Genomic DNA, 26438 nt, shown 5'->3' on the forward strand with positions numbered 1-26438 from the left:
GTTACTGTAGTTATTGTTTTTTATTGTTTTTTTAGTCTTTTTACTCAAAATATGAATAGTTTATAAACGACAATTACAGTGTTATATTATTCTGTGTTTTTCTGTGTACTTACTATTACCAGTGAGTTTTACCCATTCAGATGATTTTTTATTGCTCATTTACACCCTTGTCTTTCAGATTGAAGAACTTCCTTTAGGATTCTTGTAGGAAATGTTTGGTGTTCATGAAATCCTTCAGCTTTTGTTTTGTCTGGGAAAATCTGTATTTCTCCTTCATGTTTGAAGGGCATTTTCACTAGGTATACTATTTAAGGATTTTTTTTTTCTTCATCACTTTAAATATGTCATGGTGCCACTCTCTCCTAGCCTGTAAGGTTTCCACTGAAAAGTCTGCTTCCAGATCAACTTTTATTTTACATTCAGTGAATATGTGTGCAGGTTTCTTACAAATGTATATTGGATAATGCTGAGATTTGAGGTACAATTCAACCTGTCACTCAGGTAGTGAGCACAGTACCCAATAAGTAGTTTCTCAAGCCTTGCTCCCTCCCTCCTGACACCCTCTTATAATCCCCAATGTCTATTGTTTCCATGTTTATGTCCATGTGTACCCACTATTTATTAATATATTCCACTCATAAGTAAGAATATGCAGTATTTGATTTACATTTTCTACTTTATAATGGCTTCCAGCCTTATCCATGTTGCTCAAAAGGACATGACTCTCTTTTTTATGACTGTGTAGTATTCTATGTACATACTACCACATTTTCTTTATGCAAGCCAGTGTTGATGGGCACCTAGATTGATTCCATATCTTTGCTGTTGTGAATAGTGCTGCAGTGACCATATGGTTGCATGTGTCCTTTTGGTAGAAAAATTTATTTACCTTTGGGTGTATATACCTAGTAATGGGATTGCTGGGTCAAATGGTAATTCTATTTTAGTTCTTTGATAAATCTCCAAACTGCTTTCCAAAGTGGCTCAACTAATATACATTCCCACCAACAGTGTATAAACATTCCCTTTTCTCTGTAGCCCCACCAATATCTGTTATTTTTAGACTTTTTAGTAATAGACATTCTGGCTGATTTTAAATGATATCTCATTTTGGTTTTGATTTGCATTTCTCTGATTAGTGATGTTGAGCATGTTTTCATATGTTTGCTGGCCACTTATATGTCTTCTTTTGAGAAGTGTCTGTTCATGTCCTTTGTCCAGTTTTTAATGGGGTTTTTTTTGCTTGTTAATATAAATTTATTCTAGACCCTGGATATTAGATCTTCATCTGATGTATAGTCTGTAAATATTTTCTCCCATTCTATAGGTTGGCTGTTTCCACTACTGATAGTTTCTTTTGCTGTGCAGAAGCTCTTTAATTTAATTAGGCCCCACTTACCAATTTTTGTTCTTGTTGCAATTGGTTTTGAGGACTTAGCCATAAATTCTTTGCCAAAACTGATGTTTAAAGGATATATTCTATGTTTTCTATAGCTGGAGATCTTACATTTTGAGTCTTTAATCCATCTTGAGTTAATTTTTGTGTATGGTAATAGGTAGTTTCATTATTCTGCATTTAGATAGCCAGTTTTTCCAGCACCATTTATTCAATAGATACATCTTTCCTCATTGCTTATTTTTGCCAACTTTGTTGCAGATCAGGTGGTTGTAAGTCTGTGACTTTATTTCTGGGTTCTGTATTCTGTTCTGTCAACCTATGTGTCTGTTTTTGTGTCAATACCATGCTGTTTTAGTTACCATACCCTTTTAGAGTAGTTTGAAGTGGGGTACTGTGATACCTGCAGCTTTGTTCTTTTTGCTTAGGATTGATTTGGCTATTCAGGCTCTTTTGAAGTTCCATATGAATTTTAGAATAGCTTTTTCTTATTCTGTGAAAAATGACATTGGTAGTTCGGTAAGAATAGCATTGACTGTGTAGGAAAAGAAGAAGTAAAACTATCTTTCTTCACTGATTATATGAATCTATACCTAGAAAACCCTAATGACTCTGCCAAAAGGACCCTAGATCTGACAAATGACTGCAGTAAAATTTCAGGATACAAAATAAATGTACAACATCAGTAGCATTTCTATGCACTAATAATGTTCAAGCTGAGAGCCAAATCAAGAATGTAATTCCAGCTGGGTGCAGTGACTTACACCTGTAATCCCAGCACTTTGGGGGGCCAAGGCAGATCAATCACCTGAGGTCAGGAGTTCCAGACCAGCCTGGCTGACATGGTGAAACCCTGTCTCTACTAAAAATACAAAAATTAGCTGGGTGTGGTGGTGTGTGCCTGTAGTCCCAGCTACTCAGGAGGCTGAGGCAGGAGAATCGCTTGAACCCGGGAGGCAGAGGTTGCAGTGAGCCAAGATCATGCCACTGCACTCCAGCATGGGTAACAGACAGAGACTCCATCTCAAAAACAAAACAAAACAAAACAAAACACCTAGGCATACATCTAACTAAGGAGCTAAAATATCTCTACTAGGAGAACTACAAAATACTGCTGAAAGAAAGAAGAGATGACACAAACAAACGGAAAAACATTCCATGCTCATGGATTGGAAGGATTAATGTCATCAGTAAGGTTGAATGGAAAGAGACGCTCTCATATGATGTTACTGGGAGCGTAAATTGGTACAATTTCTATGGAGAAAATTTTGGCAGTAGCCACCAAAATTTTATATATATATACATATCCCTTTGACCCACCAATTACACTTTTAGGACTTTAGTCTATAGATCTACATGATCTACACATTTGTATCACGTATGAAATGATTGAAGAACAGATTATGCAGTGTGCCAATGTTTGTACGTTTGTAATAAAAATGGAAATAATTTGAATGTCTGTACCTACAATATTAAATAAATTGTTAAATTGATAAAATGAAACAGTAGGAAGATACAAAATATAATCAGTAGAGTCAGTAAGCTCTGTTTCACTGCTATGAAATAATCCTTAAGAAATATTGTAAAGGGGAAAAAACAAGGTGCAGAATACTATGTATGCTATTTTTTTTTTTTTTTGAGAGAGAGAAGTAATATATTTCCTGGCAAATGCATAGAATATCTTTGGAATAATATTTAAGAAAGTGGTAACATTGTTTCCCTTCTAGAAGGAAAACTGAGAGACAGTGTTGAGAGGAAGACTTCCACCTTGGGATTTTGGATGAGTTTATATTATTCAGCTTAGGCTAGGCTATGATGCAGTAACAAGTTGAGAAGTCTGATGCAGGTGTAATACCCAGCAGAGTAGCTATCCTCTATGCAATGACTCAGCAGACAGGCTCTTCAGCCATTTCTACATTTGGCTTCCAGGTTTCTGCAAAAAAGACAGTATATGAAGAACTCCCATCCACTCTTACCTTTCTTGGATTGGAAGTGTCATCTTACTTTGATTCATAGCCAATTGAATAGTATTAGTCATGTGTCCTTAATTTAGCTGCCAGTGAACCTGGGAAATATAGAGATGTACAAGTAATATTTGGTGAGCAATGCTGTATCTGCAGCAGTGTTGCTGTTCTGCCTTTTCAAATACATAAATCACACCGATCTTTTTAAAATAAAAGGATTTAAAATGATGTTGAGGTTTTTTCCTTTAAATGTAAAAAAAAGGTTAGTGTTTCCTGAGGGGTGGAATATGGATGTGAATATTCTCTATCTTTGTATCAACAAAAGACAAAACTCTGCTGCATCATTTGGTCAGGAAGAGCTTGGAAGCCAGAAGCTAAGTTTATGAATTGCCCAGTTCCAAAGGAAGACATCTAGAGACAGAGTCACAAGGATAAGGCAAGAGGAGAATTAAAAAAAATTGGCCTCAGCAACAAATTAAATAACATACAGGATAAAAATTGTGTAATATAAGTTGATTCACTTATTTTTTACATTTTTGCAATTTCTGGAAATTGCTTTTGTAATTTTATTTTTGATACACAGCTGTCCTAACATCTACTCTTAGGAAAGTTTCAGATGTAGTCATATATATGTCAGTGTGGACCCAGAGCATCACCTCTGCCACAGACTTTGCACTGTAATTCTCAATTATTTCAAAATGGAAGCTCCTGTAACTCCTTAGAAAAATTTCAAGCACAAGCAAGTAAGTATAGAAAGTATTTTGAAGAGCAGGAGATATTTCCTGAATTGAAAACATGTCCATATGAAAACCTGCACATGAATGTTTATAGCAGCTTTATTCATAATTGCCAAGACTTGGAAGCAACCAAGATGTCCTTCAGTAGGTGAATGGTCAAGTAAACTGTGGTACATCCATACAATGGGACACTATTCAGCACTAAAAAGAAATCAGCTATCAAGCCATGACAATACATGAAGGAATCTTAAATGCATATTATTAAGTGAAAGAATCCATTCTAAAGGGGTTACACACCACATGATTCCAATTATACAACATTCTGGAAGAGATAAAATGAAGACAGTAAAAAGATCAGTGGTTGCTGGAGGTGAGGGGGTATGGAGGGGTGAATAGGTGGAGCAGAGAAGAGTTTTACAGCACGAAACTATTTTGTATGATACTGTAGTGGTAAATATATGTCAGTATACATTTGTCAAAACCCACAGAGTGTCCAACACCAAAAGTAAACCTTAATGTAAACTATATACTTTGGGTAAAAATGGTATGTCAATATAAGTTTATCAATTGTCATAAATGTACCACTCTGGTTTGGGATATTCATAGGGCTCTGTGTGTATGGTGGAAAGGGTTATGTGGAAACTTTCTATTATCAATTGTTTGGTGTCTCCTTAAAATTCAAATATTGAAATCCTAGTCTTCAATATGGTGACATTAGGAGGTGTGGTCTTTGGAAGGTAATTAGGTCATGAGGGTAGAGCCCACATAAATGGGATTAGTGCTCTTATAAAAGAGACCCCAGAGAGCTCTCTCACTCTCTTCCTGCAATGTGGGGTATGAGAAGACAGAAGCATACAAACCAGGAGAAATACCCTCACCAGAGACTGAATCTGCCAACACCTTGATCTTGGACTTCCCTGTCTCCAGAAAAATGAGAAATATGTTTGTTTAAGCAACCCAGACTATGGTAATTTGTTATAGCATCCTGTACTAAGATGCGCTTTATACTTTCTGCTCAATATATACATGATTCTAAAGCTGTTCTATAAGATAAAGTCTATTAAAAATTTCAAGCATCTGCAAATTAGTAGGAAAAGCATTTTGAAGAACAAGAGATATATCCAAAGGCCCGTATATTTATATCACTGGAAGCTACTTTGCTAAGGTCTTCCAACTCAGAGCCCAGGCACTTTGGCTGTGGGGTTATCACTGATTATTTTGCTTTATCTACTTATTAATGTCAGCTATGTCACCTGGAGCACATCATTTAATCAGTTTCATGTCTCCTTCATGGGATTGTTGTGATGACAAAAGAGTGCATATTCTGACAGAAGAGCTTACTAAATTATAGCTATTGTGATTTTTTTTCATTATTTAATATACCCCAGAGGAATTTCATGGGGAGTAGAGAAATTTGAAAACGAAAAAGAGAACAGCCAATGTTTTTCTATACCTGCCACACACACACATATACATACAAATATTCCTGTCTTGTAGCTGGTTTATTTAAAATCCAGTGCATTTATAGAAATGCCTTCCCACAGAAAAACATTACCACATGTCAGATCTGATGGAATAGTTACGAGTTCAGAACCATAGCATCTTAGCCCTGTTTTCCAGAGATGTTAATCTAATCATCAATTTATGTAAAGAAGCCAAAGAGAAAAAATAACAAAGGAAAGAGAAAAAAAAAGTAAGTGGGGAAGGAAAACATGGAGTGGATTTTTGTGCATAAATAATAAAAGGATGGTCTTTATGAACAAAGAGAAATGATGTGCATACAGATAACACTTGTTACCTACCAACAAGGTTTGTTTTTTTCCCTCATTAAAGCTTTTGTTGCTTACTGAAACATTTTTGAGTGTTGAGGTTTTGGATTTAAACTTATTTTTAATATTTACCGGTTATACTCCTTCAGATTTGCATTTATTTATTTATTTATTTATTTATTTATTTATTTATTTATGAGACAGAGTCTCGCTCTGTCGCCCAGGCTGGAGTGCAGTGGCGCGATCTCGGCTCACTGCAGGCTCCGCCTCCCGGGTTCATGCCATTCTCCGGCCTCAGCCTCTCGAGTAGCTGGGACTACAGGCGCCCACCACCATGCCCAGCTAATTTTTTGTATTTTTTTTAGTAGAGACTAAAGGTTTCACCTTGTTAGCCAAGATGGTCTCAATCTCCTGACCTTGTGATCCACCCGCCTCGGCCTCCCAAAGTTCTGGGATTATAGGCGTGAGCCACTGCGCCCGGCCAAGATTTGTATTTATTTTAAATATGTTTACTATACTCAATTTTAAATACTGTGATTTTGAAATCAGGACTATTGTTTGACAATTGTGTTATTCATGTTTATCCATTACTTGCCCCAAACAAGCCTCATCCTCTGCAAAGGCAGCCACTTCCTGAAGAGGTCCTAAGCTTGCCTCAACCCAGCGAAAAGACTGAAAGACCCCATCCTCTTGTCCCTGACAGATGCAGGATGCCACTGCCCTGGCTTCAGGCCGCAAAATGAATGATGCTACTTACATTGAGCTTTCCACTCTAATTGGAGGAGAAAGACAATAACAAATAATTGGGTAATTTTAGATAAAGTTCTATGAAGAATGTAACAGAATACAAAGGGGGACTTTGGCAGGAGAAGGAAGCTTGTTGAGAAAGCAGTTAGAAAAAAATTATGTAAAACGACATTTGAGTAGAAACTTGAATGACAAAAATAATTCAGGGAAAAGGCTTTCAGTAAGAAATGTTGAATTGAAAAATCTTAAAGCAGAAATGAGCCTGAGAAGTTCCAGGATGAGAAAGGTGATCATGATGGCTGGGAGCACAGGGAGTTATGTGGAAGTGGTGTCACATAAGGTCATATAGGGTTCACAGACCATGTTAAGGGCATGAATCCTGTGCTAAGTATAAAGGAAAGCCATTAAAGAATTTTAAGCTGAGGAGTAAGATATATCATAAGGGATCCCAGAGGAAAGAGATATTCAAAAGACTAGGAAAGAGATTATAGCAATAGACCAAGAAACTGAAGATGGAGAGGTGAACTGTTAGCACTGGAAACGGTGAAAATGGTTAGTCAAAGAATACGTTTCAGAATGGGATGGTAGAGGCATCAGGCGGAGGGACAAATGGATAATGTATAGTGGTAATATTATTCAAGAAAAGATGTTGAATTTTATCAAGTGCATTTTCAGAACTTACAAGGATAATATTATGACCATTTTCCCCTTTAGATTATTAATAGGTATTTTAATATTGATCAATTATCTTATTTCTAGAATTGTGTCCACTTGTTCTTGCTGTATGAATTTCTTTAAAGTACTACTACATTTCTTTGCTATTAATTTGCTTATTAACTTTTTACATTGATATTGTGATTCACTTATTTTTTAATCTTTGTAGGATTTTTGAAACAATATTTACACAAGCTGAAAAATTAATAATTTTTTTTTATGTTCTAGATTAAAATATTTTACATGGCTTAAAATCATCTGTTCCTTCATGTTTTGGCAGTATTACCTTAGGAAACTATTTAAACCTGCTGTTTTTTGTTTAGAAGTAGTTCCATTGTGACTTTTAAAATATCTTCTGTAGCAATTAGTCTGTTCAGGACAATTTCTATTTTAAAATTATTTAAAATTTATATTTTGCTAGAAATGTATCTCTTTTATGTAGGTTCTCAAATTCATTGCATAAATTAAGTTTCTTATTATTTTAGTTTTTTCCATATTTTAAAATATTTTTCTACTGTCTTTTATATTTTTTAATTTTTGCACTGTGAATTTCTTATATTTTGTATTTTATATTTTTTATATTTTACATGTTTATATTTTGTTTTATCATTTGGTTCTTTTTCACAACTAGCTCTAGGATTTATGTATTCTACCCTTTTATGTTTTATAATGTATTATTTATTTTTATACTTAATTAAATTCAGTATTTAAGCTTTCCATATATTTTAATATTTTCTTTGACTTCTTATTTCTGGCTACATTCACATATTTTCATTCTTTCTTACTTATTGATATAAGTATTTAGTACCATACTTTTTTTCTCTGACAATAGTTTTAACTGTATCCATAATTTTTAAGCTGGTGGTTTAATTAACATTTTTAAAATGTTTTATTTTAACAAAAAGTCCTTTAAGAGAAATTTTAAAATACCAGGTGTTAGAGATTCTTGTTTTTACTTTCTCTATTTTTGTACTTAATTTCTAGTTAGTATCTGTACATTTCTGCTTAGGGATGAAATTGATGTTTTATCTGTGGTCTAATGTGCGGTCAACTTTTGCGACTGTTTCACGGACTCTGTTTCCTAGCTCAGGATTCAACATTAAATAGACGTATTTATTAAATTTACAATATAAGGTAGAAGTAATTTATTACTTAACTAATATAGGCTTGTTTATCTTTATATAGTTTTAACCCACTTGAACTATTGTAGTCTGAGAGCAGTGAATTGAAATTTCTATCTAATGATGTGTTTCTGCCCATTGCTCTGTGTATTTCTTATATATTTTGCTTTATGATGGTTGATGTGTTGTTCTTTGGTACATGGATATTTGCAAATGATAGATTTTATTACTGATTTTAACTTTTACCATTATAAAGTGCCCTTCTTTTTCTCATTTAATTATTCTGGTTTGAATTCAGGCCTATGATGTGTTAAGATCAGAGATTCCTTTTCCTCTGCATTTGCCCCTCATGTCTTTGCCTATTCATTCATTTTTTTTTCCTTTCATAGTCATTTCATTAGGTGTTTCTCTTATGTCCGGCACAACTTCAGGTGTTGCTGTGTGATTCAGTCTTATTTTCACACATGCCTTATTTCATTTTTTTTTTGCTTTTAGTATGTATTTCATTGTTTTATCTTTCAATAAGTGGTCTTCTTTGTCGTATGTGTGTTTCTTTCTGATTATTTGGGACGTTTGTGTTTTTCTAGTAGCTGTGTTTATAATTTTATATCGTTACTTAATTTTCTATTGATGTAGATAAGCATCTACTCATTCTCTTCTAAACAAGCAATGACAGAATTAGTATACATTTGCTTTTACTTCCATTCCTAAAATAAAAGGAATTAGTTGGAAATATCCTAATTAAAAATCTTTGAGGGGAAAATTTAAGATCTGTTTTTCAGTCAAATAAATCTAAAGTTCAATGTTTTCAAAGGAAAGTACAAGTACAAGGCTTAAAATGAACAGGGTGGGGTCTTTTCTCAGCACATGGCTTTGAGAACACGCAGGCTAGTTGGGATCTTCAAGTCCAGATTTTCCATCTTGTGTTTCAGTTATATCAATATTCCTGGGCTGGAAAATTTAATTCAGCTTGATCCTTTCTTGATCATAAGGTGGCTTTTAATGGGTTTCAAATTAATGGCTTTCTATAATTGGCAAGGGTGAGAAGACCTTGTGACAGAAGAATGTTAACAAATAAAGGCTAAAACTAAATGGAAGATTTCCACTGGCATCTTTGTTTCCCCGTTTCTCCAGCGAACTTGTGGTGACCTCTAAGAAGTTTATTTGGATATTGTGAGTGATAGAAGAAATTATAAAATGGAATATATAAATAAACCTACACATATAATAATATGTGTAATATTGAATGTACCATAATAACCAACAGTTATTGAGCACTTTCCATGTATTGTCTTTATTAATCTGCCAAACAACCTTATCAGCAAGGTCCCATCAACATTATTACAGATGAGAGAAATCAAGCTTAGAGGACTTGATTAGCTTTCCCAACATCATTCATCTGTTAAATAGCGAAACCAAAATTTATATTGAGGCCGCCTAACAACAAAGGGAAATTAAAAGAAAAATAGAAAGGATGGTATGTATATAAATGCAGAGTTTTCTAAACTTTCCATTTTATAGTTCTCTATTTGATTTCTTACAATGTGTAACATTATAATTATAAAATGAGACAAAAGTAGTAATTTGAGACGTGCAGAAGTACTGATTTTCTTACCAGTCAAATGTATATTTACTTAATAATTATTTTTATTTTTGCTCTCTGCCCATAACTTCACTCCCTCACTTAATAAAATAAATGTCAGGAACACACTCGTAGTGTTTTTGTTCGAGAGCTCAGCTTTCCAGGTAGAACTGTCCATTGTTTCAGGTCTGACTGTTTTTCTCTTTGACAGAGATTTGAATAAAACATTGGGAATTCTCCCAGAATGGCTTTTAGTGGTGAACACATGCCAGCTGTGCTTTCAGCCACAAAGTTGCCTTTGGGATGCTTGCATTCCCAGCTGAGCAGAAGTCCCTCTGCCTACTCCCTAAGCTCACAATAATGGTGTTTTACAGGAAGCAGGCTAAATATAACATTTCTCCAAAATATTTCTATTAAGGTTTATTTCTAGCTCAGTATACACATTTTATGACTATTTCTTTGACTATCATGAGTAGTGTGGTTTAAAAGAAGATATTTCCTTTTTATGTATGAGTCTGCCTTTTCATTACTTCCTTTATGGAAGATTTGTAGACATTGTGTCCTTAAAAGTATGTCTCCGAATTCTCCTAGCTGCCCTTCTGGGTATATTTCCCCTCTCTAAAGAAGTGAGGTAAGGATAGAGTTGTTAGGCCTCCAAGTTTATCAATTTGATTGTTCCATAGAAAAGAGCACAGGGCACATAGAGGATGTGTTTGCCTAGATCTAAAGGGATGCATGTCAAGTTCAGCACTTGATGAACATATGACAAGTGATTGTCCTGCCATTATGATTAAACACTGATAACACAGTCAGCCACAGATATATATGAGGATGTGTGCTTCCCCTGGGTTAGGAGGGAAATGATTTTGACACCACAGTGGGAACACTAATTTGCACACTACTGGTGAGTGACACCCTTCCATTGTCACATTTATCCTAAATCTTTGAGAAAATGGTTAAAAATCTCCAAATATAATTGTATATTAGTCTCGTTCTCCTTTAGTTTTATATTATGTATCATGAAGCTCTGTAATTAGGTACACAAACATTCATAGCTTTTATTTCTTCTTGAATGATGAACTTTTTAATCATTATGAAATTCCCTCTTTATCTCAAGAAACACACTTCTTGAAGTACATCTTTATAATATTAACATAACATCTCCAGTTTACCTTTTAGGGTTTGCATGACTTTTTAGCATTTTATTTAATTCTTTTAGTTTTAACCCATCACTCTTTTGTATTCAATCTGGAAATCTTTGCCCTTTAATTAATTATTTACTCTACATGTTATGCAATTTTTTTATAAGATTGGGTTTAAGTCTATCATTGTACTACTTGTTTTTTATTTAAATCCTGTTTTTTTTCTATTATTTTATATTCTCTGCTGTTAAACAATTAACTGAATATTTCTTATATTGCATTTTTTCTCCTCCATGGCTTTTTGGCTATTCATTTTTAGTTTATGTTTTGTTTTTTAGTGGTTGTTCTAGAAGTTATAATAAGTATCTTCAACCTTTTAACAATACTACTTCATGTATAATTTAGGAAATTGGACAACATTATATTTTCATTTACTTCCTTTCTTCCTTTGGTTTATAGTTGTCATGTATCTTACTCCTATGTATGCAATAAACCTCCAACAGCATTGCTATAAATTTTGCTTTAAATAAACAATTGTCTTTTAGAAAATATTTTAACAAGAAAAAGCCAAATCTCTCTACTTATTTTTCATTTCCAATGCTTTTGATTTTTTTTTAATGTAGATCTCAGTTTTCATGTCGTGGCATTTCCTTTCAGCCTCAGGATTTCCTTTAGAATTTATTTTAGCACAGGTCTAATGGTGATGAATGATTTTAGATTTTGTTTATCTAAAATGTATTTATTTCTCCTCTACTTTTTGAAATATATTTTTCTGGATTCAGAATTGTAAGTACACAATTTTTTTCTTCTCCTGTACTTTTTGAAAGATATTTTCCTGGATACAGAAGTCTACGTAGAAATTTTTTTTCTTCTCTTTCAGTACTTTGAAGATGTCATTCCATTATTTACTGGCTTACATTGTTTTTATTAAAAAGTCAGCAGTAATTCTTAGCATTGTGCCCCTGTATGTAGCATATTTTTTCCTCAAGTTATTTTTAAGATATTATTTTCTCTTTATTTTAAGAATCTGTTATTTATCTTTTATTTTAAACAAGTTGACTATCATGTGGCTAGATGGGAAGTGAGAGAAAGAAAAAGACAAACAGAGAGATAAATAACTATTTGTGATTGTGTGTGTGTATCCTATTTGACATATATTAGAATATTGGGCATATAGGATGGCATTTGTCATCAAATTTTGAAAAATTGAAGCACTTATCTCTTCAAATATTTTTCTGCCTCTTTCTCTTTCTCCTTTTCTTCAGAAACTCCCATTTCACATATGTTCACCTGATGCTTTCCTCCAATAATTTAGGCTCTGTTTTTTAGTTTTAGTTTTTATTTTCTTATGGCTTTTTTTCCTGTACTTTGATTTGGATGATGAGGCTTTTCTTTTTCTTTTTTTCTGGTAAATCCCATTTTTTCTTTTTTTACTTTAAGTTCTGGGTTACCTGTGCAGAATATGCAGTGTTGTTACAAGGGTATACATGGTTTCCTGCACCTATCAACCCGTCACCTAGGTTTTAAGCCCCACAGCCATTAGCTATTTGTCCTGATGCTCTCCCTTCCCTCCACCCACCCTGCCCTCCAATAAGCCCTGGTGTGTGTTGTTCCCCTCCCTGTGTCCATGTATTCCCATGTGTTCAAATCTCACTTATGAGTGAGAACATGCCATGTTTGGTTTTCTGTTCCTGTGTTAGTTTGCTGAGAATGATGGCTTCCAGCTTCATTCATGTCCCTGCAAGGGACATGGTCTCATTCCTTTTGTGGCTGGATAGTATTCTATGGTGTATATGTACCACATTTTCTTTATCCAGTCTATCATTGATGGACATTTTGATTGGTCCCATGTCTTTGCTACTGTGAATAGTGCTGCAATAAACATACGTGTACATGTATCTTTATAACAGAATGCTTTATATTCCTTTGGGTATACACCCAGTAATGGGATTGCTGAGTCAAATGTTATTTCTGGTTCTAGATCTTTGAGGAATCACCACACTATCTTCCACAATGATTTAAAGAATTTACATTCCCCCAAAAAAAGCATTGTTATTTCTTCAGAGCCTCGCCAGCATCTGTTGTTTCTTGACTTTTTAATAATCGCTATTCTGACTGGCATGAAGTGGTATCTCATTATGGTTTTGATTTGCATTTCTCTAATGATCAGTGATGCTGAGCTTTTTTCATATGTTTGTTGGCTGCATAAATGTCTTCTTTTGAGAAGTGTCTGTTCATATTCTTCACCCATTTTTTGATGCGGTTGTTTGTTTTTTCCTTGTAAAGTTAAGTTCCTTGTAAATTCTGGATATTAGACAACTGTCAAATGGGTGGGTGGCAGAATTTTTCTACCATTCTGTAGGTTGCCTGTCCTCTCTGATGATAGTTTCTTTTGCTGTGCAGAAACCCTTTAGTTTGATTAGATCCACTTTGTCAATTTTAGCTTTTGTTGCTATTGCTTTTAGCAATTTTATCATAAAATCTTTGTCCATGCCTATGTCCCGAATGGTATTGCTGAGGTTCTCTTCTAGGGTTTTTATGGTTTAGGATTTACATATAAGTCTTTAATCCATCTTGAGCTAATTTTTGTATAAGGTATAAGAAAGGGGTCCAGTTTCAATTTTCTGCATATGCCTAGCCAGTTTTCCCAGCACCATTTATTAAATAGGGAATCCTTTCCCCATTGCTTGTTTTTCAAAGATTTGTCAAAGATCAGATGATTGTAGGTGTGTGGTCTCCATTCTGTTCCATTGGTCTCTATAGACCAATATATAGACCTACTTCTGAGGTATCTCTTCTGTTCCATTGGTCTATATGTCTGTACCAGCACCATGCTGTTTTGGTTACTATAAACTTGTAGTATAGTTTGAAGTCAGGTAGCATGTTGCCTCCAGCTTTGTTCTTTATGCTTAGGATTGTTTTGGCTATGTGTGCTCTTTTTTGGTTCCATATGAATTTTAAAGTATTTTTTTTCTTATTCTGTGTAGAATGTAATGGTAGTTAGATGGGAATAGCATTGAATCTATAAATTACTTTGGGCAGTATGGCCATTTTCACAATATTGAGCCTTCCTATCCATGAGGATAGAATGTTTTTACATTTGTTTGTTGTCCTCTATTATTTCCTTGAGCAGTGGTTTGTAGTTCTCCTTGAGGTCCTTCACTTCCCTTGTTAGCTGTATTCCTACATATTTTATTCTCTTTGTAGCAATTGTGAATCAGAGTTCATTCATGGTTTGGCTCTCCGCTTGTCTATTATTGGTGTATAGGAATGCTTATGATTTTTGCACATTGATTTTTGTATCCTGAGACTTTGCTGAACTTGTTTATCAGCTTAAGGAGTTTTTGGGCTGAGATGATGGGGTTTACTAAATATAGGATCAGGTCATCTGCAAATAGAGACAATTTGACTTCCTCTCTTCCTATTTGAATATGCTTTATTTCTTTCTCTTGCCTGATTGCTCTGACCAGAACTTCCAATAATATGTTAGATAGGAGTGATGAGAGAGGGCACTCTTGTCTTGTGCAGATTTTCAAAGGGAATGCTTCCAGCTTTTGCCAATTCATATGATATTGGTTGTGGGTTTGTAATAAATAGCTCTTATTATTTTGAAATATGTTCCATCAATACCTAATTTATTGAGAGTTTTTAACATGAAGAGATGTTGAATGCTATTGCAGGCCTTTTCCACATCTATTGAGATAATCATGTGGCTTCTGTTTATGTGACGGATTACATTTATCGATTTGCTTATGTTGAACCAGCCTTGCATCTCAGGGATGAAGCTGACTTGATTGTAGTGGATAAGCTTTTTGATGAGCTGCTGGATTCAGTTTGCCAGTATTTTACTGAGGATTTTCACATCAATGTTCATCAGGCATATTGGCCTGAGGTTTTCTTTTTTTCTTTTTTTTTTTTTTTTTTTGTGTGTGTGTGTGTGTGTGTCTCTGCCAGGTTTTGGTATCAGCATGATGCTGGCCTCATAAAATGAGTTAGGGAGGAGTCCCTCTTTTATTGTGATGAAAACATTTAAAATCTACTCTCCTAGCAATTTCTAAGTATACAATCTATTACTATTAACTATAGTCACTATGCTGTACAACAGATCTCCAGAACTCATTTCTCCTGTGTAACTGAAACTGTACCCTTAAACAACATCTCTTTATTCCCCTAAACACCTCCCTTTTTGAAGCCTCTGGTAACCATCATTCTGCCCTCTACTTCTATTAATTCAATTGTTTTATTTTAAGATTCTACATATAAGTGAGATCAAGCAGTATTTGTCTTTCTGTATCTGGCTTATTTCATTAAGCATAATGCCCACCATTTTCATCTGCTTTGTCACAGATAACAGTATTTCTCTCTTTTCTGGCTACTATTTCATTGTGTAATGTGACTACTATTTCACTGTGTATATGCTACATTTTTAAAAATTTGTTTATCTGGTGATGGACATCCAGGTTGATTCCATATCTTGGCCATTGCAAATAATGCTGCAATAAACACGAGAGTATAGATATTTATTCAACATACTACTTTCATATCCTTTGGATATATACCCAGAAGTGGGATTGCTAGATCACATGATAGTTCTATTTTTAACTTTTTTAGAAACTCCATACTGTTTTCCATAATGAATGTACAAATTTACATTTTCACCAACAGTGTACAAGGGTTCCCTTTTCACCAGATTCTTGACAATGCTTGCTGCTTTTTGTCTTTCTTAATAAAAGTCATTCTCACAGGTGTGAGGTGATAATCTCATTGAGATTTTAATTTACATTTCTCTGATTATTAGGATGTTGAACACCTTTTCATATACACTGGATATTGTGAAATTGGATTATAAGAGTGAAATAAGGTGAAATAGGGGCCCAATTTCATTGTTCTGCATGTGAATATTTAGTTTTCACAACACCATTTGTTAAAAAGATTGCTCTTTCTTCATTGTGTGATCTTAACAACTTGCTGAAGATCAATTGACTGTAAATGTGTAGACTTATTTCTGGGCCCTCTATTCAGTTCCATTGGTCTATATGTCTGTATTTAGGCCAGCACCACACTGTTTTGATTTCTGTAGCTTTGAAGTAGACGTTGAAACCAAGCAGTGTGTTGCCTTTAGCTTTGTTCTTTTTGCTCAAGATTGCTTTGGCTATTTGGAATCTTTTCCAGTTTCATAGAAATTTTAGGATTGCTTTTTATTTACTTGAAAAATGTTGGAATTTTGAGAGGGATTGCATTGAATCGGTGGATCAATTTGGATATTACGGACATCTTTACAATGTTAATTCTTCCAAGTCATGAACATAAAATAACTTTCCATTTATTTGTGTTACCTCAATTTCTTTCATTAATGTTTTATAGTTTGCAGTGTACAGACAGATCTGTCATCTCCTAGGTTAAATTTATTTTTCTATTTTGATACTATTATAAATGAGATTGTGTTCTTGATTTCCATTTTGGATAGTTTGTTGTTAGTGTATAGAAATGTCACTAATTTTTGTATGTTGATTTTGTATCTTGCGACTTTATTAAATCCACTTTCTAGCTCTAAAAGTTTTGAGGGAATCTTCAGGGTTTTTAATATATGAAATTATGTCATCTAAAAATGGAGGCAATTTAATTTCTTCCTTTCCAATTTGGATGCCTTCTATTTATTTCTCTTCCCTAATTTTTCTGGCTAGGACTTCCAGTAATATATTGAATAGAAGTGGTGATAGTAGCCGTTCTCTCTTGTTCCTAATCTTAGAGGAAAAGCTTTCAACTTTTCACCATTGAGTATGATATTAGTTTTGGGTTTGTCATATATGGCCTTTATTGTGTTGAGAAACATTTATTCTAAAGTAAATTTGTTGAGAGTTTGTATAATGAAGTGGTGTTGAATTTTGTCAAATGCTGTTTTTGTATTTATTGAAATAATCATATGGTTCTTGTCTGTTCTGTAATGTGGTGTAGCACCTTGATAAATTTTTGTATATTAAAGTATTTTGAATCTTAGAATAAATCCCACTTGGTAATAGTGTATTATCCTTTCCATACACTGTTGAATTTACTTTCCTAATATTTTGTAGATAACTTTTATATATATGTTAATTAGGAATTTTGGCCAGTAATTTTCTGTTCTTGTAGCTTCCTTGTCTGTTTTTAGTATTGATATGGGAGTGCTGGGAAGGTAAGAGCATGGCCCCTTTAAATGATGTGGAAAGAGGGAAGAGAAGTGCTGGGTAGAGGGAGGGTGTGGTCCCTGGCTAGGGCTCACCCCCATGGACCTAGGTGAGGATAGGCATTCCTGCCTTCTTGCCCAAATGTTGCATTTTCCAAGACCTCCCTGGCCCACCATGCCCCCATCCTGTGCCTGTAAACCCCCGGAGACCCTAGCAGGCAGATACACAAGTGGCTGGACGTCATGAAGAGCGCATCGGTGGAAGAAGATACAAGTGGCTGGTCATTGAGAGCACGCCGGCAGAAGAGCATACCAACAGGCACTGGCAGGCCGGCAGGCCATCAACTGGTGGAATGACGTGGAGTTTGGCTGGAGCGGTAGAGGAAGAGTCAGGCACCCGGCCAAACTCCAAGGGAAAAACATCTCCCTTCTGGTTCCCCCATCTGCTGAGAGCTACTTCCACTCCATAAAACCTGGCATTCATTCTCTAAGCCCACGTGTGATCTGATTCTTCCAATACACCAAGGCAAGAAACCGCGGGATACAGAAAGCCCTCTGTCCTTGCAAGAAGGTAGGGAGTCTAATTGAGCTGACTAACACAAGCCACCTATAGATGGCAAACTAAAAGGGCATCCTGTAATACACGCCCATTGGGGCTTCAGGAGCCATAACATTCACCCCTAGGCACTGCTGTGGGACTGGAGCCCCACAGCCTGCCCGTCTGTATGTTCTCCTAGGTGTTTGAGCAGTGGGGCACTGAAGAAGCGAGCCACACCCCCATCTCACACCCTGCGAGGGGGTTAGGGGGAAATTTTCACGTGTCAGTATCAGGGTAATTCTTGTCTCCTAAACTGAGTTTGGAAGTGTTCCTTCCTCTTCAATTTTTTGGGAGAGTTTAAAAGTATTGGCATTAATTATTCTTTAAACATTTGGTAGGCCAGGCATGGTGTCTCATGCCTATAATCCCAGCACTTTGGGATGCTGAGACAAGAGGATCACTTGAGGCTAGGAGTTTGAGACCAGCCTGGGCAATATAGTGAGACCCCATCTCAAAAAATTTATTATTTATTTATTATTATTATTTAATAATAACAAGGTCTGATGGTGTGCACCTGTAGTTCCAGCTTCTTGGTAGGCTGAGGCAGGGAAATCACTTGAGCCTGGGAGGCAGAGGTTGCAGTAAGCTAAGATCATGCCACTGTGCTTTAGCCTGGGTGACAGAGCAAGACCTCATGTGAACAAAAAAGAAAGAATAAGAATAAAAATCGATAGAATTAGTGAAACTATCAGTTCCTGGGCTTTTCACTGATGAACAACATTTTATTACTCATTAAATCTTTGTACTTATTATTAGTCAGTTCAGATTATATTTCATCATGATTCAGTAATGGTAGATTGTATATTTCTAGAGATTTGTCCATTTCTTCTAGGTTATCCAATTTTGGGGGGTGTAATTGTTCAGTTTTTTTATGCTTCTTTGCATTTCTGTGGTATCAGTTGTAATGTCTCCTTTTTCATTAAGTCTAGCTAAATATTTGTCCATTTTATCTTTTCAAAAAGCCAACTCTTAACTTTTGATTGTTTTTTTCATCTCTATTTTATGTATTTCTGCTCTGATCTTTATGATTTCCTTCTTCTACTATTTTGGGGCTTAGTTTCTTTTTTGCTAGTTTCTCTAGGTGTAATATTAGGTTGTTTATTTGAGATCTTTCTTCTTTATTGAGGTAGGCATTTATTGCTATCAACTTCCCTTTTAGAACTGTTTTTGCCCCATTCTATAAGTTTTGGTCTATTGTATTTCCATTTTCATTTGTCTCAAGATATTTTTAAATTTCTCTTTTTATTATTTGGCCCATTGGTTGTCTAATTTTTATTTGTAACTTTTCTGAATTCCTTCCTGTTACTGATTTCTAGATTTACACCCTTGTGGTCAAAAACTCTACTTGACATGATTTCAATGGTCTTAAATTGGTTAAGACTTCTTTTGTGGCCTAACATAATCTATCCTAGAGAATGGTGATGTGCGCTTGAGAAGAATATGTATTCTGCTGTTATTGGATGGAATATCTTTTATATGTCTGTGAGGTCCATTTGGTCTTAAGTATAGTTCAAATCCACTGTTTCCTTATTGATTTTATGTCTGGATGATCTGTTTATTGTTGAAAGTGCATTTGGATCAGTCTTTAAGCCACTGGTTTTTTTTCTGTAGTGGCCATTATGTTGATGCAACATCTACGTCAGCTTTCTTCTTTTTCTATTAACATTTTTCTTCTGGTTATGGGATGCCTGTTCCTGTGTCTTCATATGTCTAATATATTATTTAGCTTAATTCTAAACGTTGCTGATACAACATTGTTAAAAGTCTGGATTTTGTGGTCTTTCATCTTATCAAGAATTATTTTGGGACTGCATTATGCTGTGTCTAGAATAGATTTTATGACAGGGCTTAATTAGCATTACTTCTAGGAGTAATGTTTTTGTTTCTTAACTTAATGCCCAGGTGTTCGGTGCAATGTCACTACTTTGGCTGGTCAAAACTCCATTATTTTCCACCATTATGTGGACTTTGGAATATCTATGCATCTCACAGCCCTTGAATACCATCATTCTGTCATGTCTTGGGGAGTCTCTTATTGCACACAGCTGAGTATTTGACCAAAGACACAAAAGGATCACTATGTGATTTTCTGGAGGTCCTCTCTTTGTCACCTCCTCTTCAGTATACTCCCCTGCAAACATTGGTCAACACAGTAGTCCTTGACTCCAATATTTGTTTCCTCTGCCCAACAAGCTTGCTGCAATCTGAGCGCCTTTTTCCACTGTGATGAAACAGACACTTTCATATATTGTTGGTAAAAGTGTTAATTGCTAAAAATCTCCATGGAGAACAATTTTACTATAGTCATTAAATTTTAAATTGCAAATATCCTTTGGTCTCCAAATTCCACTGGTGGGAGTGAAACTCAGACACTCAAAATTATTGACATGTATACATGTAAGATTACATTTTGCAGCATTGTTTGAAATAACAAATGAATGGAAACAATCCAGATGTTTCTACACCAGGCACTACTCTTAAAATTATTATATCATCATGCATTACCACACTATTCAGGTTTGTAAAAGAAAGATGGCATTCTCTGTGTACTAATATGGAAAATGTTTCCAGATTAATTTCATGAAGAAAGCCAGGTGGAATACAATGCATGGAATATGTATATAAAAAGGAAGGAAAGAATAAGAATCTCTATTGGTAGTAATTTGTATGTAGATAATAAAACTCTAAAATAAAAATTGTAGCCATTGGAAATACATGTTAAAATGGGGGAAAATGTGCAGATAAAACACTTTTCCATTATTCACTGTTATATGAACTTTAACAATTTAGATGATGTGAAAATTGCCCCTATTCAAAAAAATTAATAAATGCATTAAAAGAAATATCATAAACAACTAATTAAATCCACAAAGATACATCTAAGGATTCCCTGGGATCCAAGAGCCCCAATTTGAGAAAATCCTATTGTACAGATTTATTTATAGAAATACTTATACATTGGAAATATTCACACAATACAAAACTGAAAGTTAACTTTTTTTATTTTATTATAGTTTAAGTTCTAGGGTACATGTGCACAGCGTACAGGTTTGTTACATGGTTATACATGTGCCATGTTGATTTGCTGCACCCATCAACTCGTCATTTACATTAGGTATTTCTCCTAATGCTATCCCTTCCCCTGCCCCCCACCCCATGACAGGCCCTGGTGTGTGATATTCCCCACCCTGTGTCCATGTGATCTCATTGTTCAACTCCCACCTATGAGTGAGAACATGCGATGTTTGGTTTTCTGTCCTCGTGATAGTTTGCTTAGAATGATGGTTTCCAACTTCATCCATGTCCCTGCAAAGGACATGATCTCATCATTTTTTATGGCTGCATAGTATTCCATGGTGTATATGTGCCACATTTTCTTAATCCAGTCTATCATTGATGGACATCTGGAGTGGTTCCAAGTCTTTGCTATTGTGAATAGTGTCACAATAAACATATGTGTGCATGTGTCTTTATAGTAGCATGATTTATTATCCTTTGGGTATATACCCAGTAATGGGATTGCTGGGTCAAATGGTATTTCTGGTTCTAGATCCATGAGGAATTGCCACACTATCTTCCACAATGGTTGAACTAATTTACACTCCCACCAACAGTGTAAAAGCTTTCCTATTTCTCCACATCCTCTCCAGCATCTGTTGTTTCCTGACTTTTTAATGATTGCCATTCTAACTGGTGTGAGATGGTATCTCATTGTGGTTTTTATTTGCATTTCTCTGATGACCAGTGATGACGAACATTTTTTCATATGTCTGTTGGCTGCATAAATGTCATCTTTTGAGAAGTGTCTGTTCATATCCTTTGCCCACTCTTTGTAGATTCTGGATATTAGCCCTTTGTCAGATGGGTAGATTGCAAAAATTTTCTCCCATTCTGTATGTTGCCTGTTCACTCTGATGATATTTTCTTTTGCTGTGCAATTCTTTAGTTTAATTAGATCCCATTTGTCTATTTTGGCTTTTGTTGCCGTTGCTTTTGGTGTTTTAGTCATAAAGTCTTTAGCCATGCCTATGTCCTGAAGGGTATTGCCTAGGTTTTCTTCTAGGGCAAAACTAACTGAAAGTTAACTTTCCATCATACTACCAGAGTATCTCCATGGATAATTGCCAGATTTGTGTATGAGTGGTGTGTGTGTGTACTCCTATACATTGTGTATATCTAGAAAGTTTTATGGGTGCTTAACAATATTTGAAATTCCTCTCGTAATTTTTATTCTCCTCTGGATTTTTACTTATAAAATAAATTTTAGTAATTTGTGTTTTCAAAAAATATTAATACTTTCATTTAGATTTTCAAATTTTCTATAGGGATTTATTTGTAATAGCCTCCTATCAACTTTTAAAACTCTGTGCTTGATGATGTATTTATTCCTTTTTAAAATCCCCAAGATGGTCTATTACTGTTTTATCTTCTCTTAGCTTAACCATCACTAAGATTTCTAAGTATTTTTGTTGCACAATTTTCCATAATAAACTGCTATATGCATTTACCATATCTACTCTTAGTTTTTGTTTTTAATTTATTAATATTCTTTATAATATTATTTTCTTTCTCTTTTCTTAAATTTAATTGGTAATTAGTTTTAAGTTTCTTGTGTTAAAAAAGCTCATTTATTTTTATATCTAATTCAAATTTTATCATCATTAAAAGGTATTAAATATTTTTGATGACTTTTTTTATATTGTGTCATCATTCATTAAGAAAAGCATCTTTAAATTCTCTGGATGATTAAAATACTGGTTTAATTGCATTGTGTCAGATGAAACTTGTATCCTTTTCCACTTTGAAAAAATTATTAAAGGTTTTTTTTGTGACCCATGGCAAGATTAATAGAATTCATTTTCTACTTATAAAATATTTGATATAAATACACTAAATAAAGCCTTACAATTTAGAATACTCTTACTTAGTATTTCCTATTTGACCTTCCATACCCTGGAAAATGACTTTTAAATTTTTCCATTCTAATTGCTATTTTATCAGTTTAATTTTTGAAGACAATTGAAGATTCCTTGCTATGTAAATTATTAGATTAAATACCTGCTTCCTTAGGAAATTAATCTCAGTAAGAATAAGCAGTACTTTACCATGAAAGTAAATTGTCAGATGCCTCAAATATTGAGAACACTGCTTTCATGATAATTATATTCTATCCTATGTATTCCACATTTTGTCCATATTTTGTTACAATCCAACTATATATTTACATAAAAAAAATTTCTATATCCTAACATATTATTAATTTACTTCAGGTAAACACTAAAAATCCCAACACAAGGAAAATCTTAAAATTGATGGTCCTGAGAATTTATGCATTTGTATAAATGATCAATTTCTCTTAACAGAGATTTTAAGAAGAGGGCAGAACTATAAATGGAAATATATTGCAGTTGCAAAGCAAACAAAACAATTTTTTGTATGGATGACAGAGAAAGGACAGACGGTTCATGTCATTCGTTCTAGCCACACTACCATTCACAGGGCATTTTCTTTGAAAATGACAGCCACTAATACAATCAATTCTACCTTTGTTCATTATGTGAATTTTCTTTGTCAAAAAACTAAACATTAGTGGAAGCAACAGAAAAAGCCAATTCTAGATTCTTTTAAAAATAATTGGGAGGCGGAGGTGGGTGGATAACCGGGTCAGGAGATTGAGACCATCCTGGCTAACACGGCAAAACCCCCCGTCTCTACTAAAAATACAAAAAAATTAGCCAGGCATGGTGGCAGGTGCCTGTAGTCCCAGCTACTAGGGAGGCTGAGGCAGGAGAACGGCGTGAACCTGGGAGGCGGAGCTTGCAGTGAGCCGAGACGGCACTACTGCACTCCAGCCTGGGCAAAAGAGCGAGACTCTATCTCAAAAAAAAAATAATAATAATCATTATCATCATCATCAAGTGAATGGTGAAAATGGATGGCTATTGATGTACTTACAAGCTGTGTAGGCACTGGCTAACAAAAATGTGTTCTATATGTCTTGCCAGGATTATTGAAACTTTTCAACACTGGTTTCTGCATTGATAAAAAAAAATAAAGCCTGGTAAAAGTCTCCTTCATAGAATTATACAATATTAAATGTAGGAATACTAGAGGTGATCTGAAATGTACCAGTTAGGTTCATTACGGGAAACAGATGGCATGTCTAAAATAGGATACTTCCAGGAGAGTTTTTAAAAGGCACTAATTACAAAGAGATGGGAAGCATGTAGGGAAATGATGAAGGATAAATGCAGTACCCCAGACTTAGTAATAGTGAGAGGCAGCCACCACCCTTAAGCCTGAAGGAGTAAGGGGAGGACGTGGTTACCTGCCTGGAGAGAGTCATATAAAGAGTACCAACTGGAGAGGAGTTGTTAACTCAGTTGAGGGACATGGCCAGCTCAACAGTAACCCAGAGAAAGAGCTGAGGAAATAGATATTCAACATCAATCTCCTCCTTTTCTCCAATCTACCGCCAGAGCTGCCCATAGGCCAAACTCAATTGGAAATCAGAAAGTCAAGGGACCTATGGATGCTATTTTTACAGATCAACCTCCCAGATAGAGCTAGATACAGAAGGGTGAAGGTGTACCTATAAAAGGCAATGAAAATATACAACACATGACCCAGTTGTCTAAATTTTTAGATGAAAACATTGAGTCCCAAGGATGAACTGACTTGCTCAAGTTCAACTGCAAGCTAGAATCAGAATTAAAACCAGATAAATATTCTCAATATGTTCCCCATTTCATGGAAATCTGCTGCCTTCCCACTTCCAAAATATCTTGCTTAGAGGAACAGTCATGACTGGAAGGAATCTATGAGACTCCTGGGTCAAAATAGCAAAGTGAACACCTATAGTCTTTTCTCCTTTTGTTCTAGTGATTAATTGCTACATTATAAACCACTTCAAAAATGATGGCATTGAGGGATTCCTGCTATGACGGCTGACTGGATGCAACCAGGAGGAACATCTCCTACTGAGGAACTGGGACATCAAGAAGACTGGCACACTCTTAGCAGAACTTCAGAGGGAAGGTATTGAAAGTAGTTGTAGGGAAGACACAGATGCTGGGCTGAAGAGTGAGGAAGCTTGGAACCCTGCATGGGACTACCATGCACCAGGACTCCTTCTTGACCCCCAATGACTCCTGTGGATAGCATGAGTTGAACAGGCAAGGAATAACCTGCCTTCACTGTAGGACTCTGGAATTCTGGCAAGAGGAGACTCTGTGACCACTATGGACACTTGAGTTGGCAGGGAAAGCTGCTTAGGGAAGCAGTAGGGACAGAACTGCAGCCAGGGTAGAGCCCAAAGGGTTTGGAGACGAATCATCTGTAGTGGAGCATGATCAGGGATGCCCATCCCACTAGGCTCGACTTGCTCCCATAAGAGACTTTAGGCTTAGGGGAACTGTCAGACCTGAATTCTGCAAGGCAAGGCAGTCTTGACCATGAGACAGGGCCTGTAAGGCCTGAGCACCTCTGAGTAGGCTGGCCTCTCCCAGGGACCAAGTCTGGCTGCACCTACTTGCAGCCCCAATTTACCTCCTGGGGGTTGCATCATATCTCCTGCACTGGCAGACTGTGCCTGACTGGCAGAGTGCTCCAGCAGAGAGGTTCCAGCAGAGCACCGTCCCCCTGCTCATGGACATGTACCAGCCCGCCTGTGCCCTCCCCATAGTGCAGCCTCCACAATGCTGCCTTGCCTGCAGGTACTCATCCACAGCCAACCCACATCGCTTTGCCAGCATGTGTGTGTACAGGCAGGCCAAGCCTTCCCTTCCCCGCTAGAATGCATGTGCGTGTGCACCCTGCCATGCCACTACTGCTGATGTGAGTACATCATGGCTCCTCCCTCCCCCTGCTGCATCACCACTGTCATGAAAGTACTGGCAGGCACAGAGCTTGCCAGCCCCATCCCTCCAGCATCTCACCCCTGCACCAGGGTCACCAGCATGAAAGTAGGCATGGAAAATAGCAGACTCACCCCCAGCCCTGAGCAGCCACTGCCACCAACATGAACATAAACAGAGGTTGCACACAGTCCTGCACTCACCAGCGCCCCGCCCCCATGCTAACACCACCACCAATGAGAATGTTCACACAGTCTCTGGTGGGGACCCTCAACCCTCGATCCATACTGCCACCACTGCTGCTGTGAAAGCCCACGAGGAGACTGGCACCCCAGCACCTGTAGCACCCTGCTGTAGCTGACCAGTTTGTACACTGTGCGTTGCTGCTCCTCCTGCTGCTGGCACATGGAAACCAGGATAGAACCCACTACCACCAGCCTATGAAGCATTTTGGCTGGCACCACCCATTGGAGTGTTGTGACCAGTGGTCTGGGAGCACCTTGGCCCCTCCAACACTACAGGTTCCTAAACTTGAGGAGCCAGAGATCAAAGCCAGGCCAGATACCAGTCCCTGAGAGTTAGAGCACACAGTCCAGGAGTCCTGAGCTGAGCTTTGGCCTCCTAAAATCTAGTAATGAAGCCAGTTGAC

The 26438-nt window shown here is 36.1% G+C and overlaps 1 long non-coding RNA gene across 2 annotated transcripts in view, besides 1 other annotated feature; it reads right to left on the reverse strand.

Annotated features, from left to right (window-relative positions):
* The window catches only part of NPSR1-AS1 (NPSR1 antisense RNA 1), a 487820-nt gene that overhangs the window by 180584 nt on the left and 280798 nt on the right, over window positions 1–26438 (reverse strand). The window lies entirely within an intron of this gene.
* Window positions 25330–25831: an enhancer, noted in NCBI's record as "H3K4me1 hESC enhancer chr7:34592037-34592538 (GRCh37/hg19 assembly coordinates)". NCBI's record gives its function as "activates a minimal SCP1, AML or CMV promoter by ChIP-STARR-seq in primed H9 embryonic stem cells {active_cell/tissue: H9 hESC(primed)}" and the evidence as "EXISTENCE:reporter gene assay evidence [ECO:0000049][PMID:30033119]".

The sequence above is a fragment of the Homo sapiens genome, chromosome 7 (assembly GCF_000001405.40).
Source record: "Homo sapiens chromosome 7, GRCh38.p14 Primary Assembly".
Classification (NCBI taxonomy): Eukaryota; Metazoa; Chordata; class Mammalia; order Primates; family Hominidae; genus Homo; species Homo sapiens.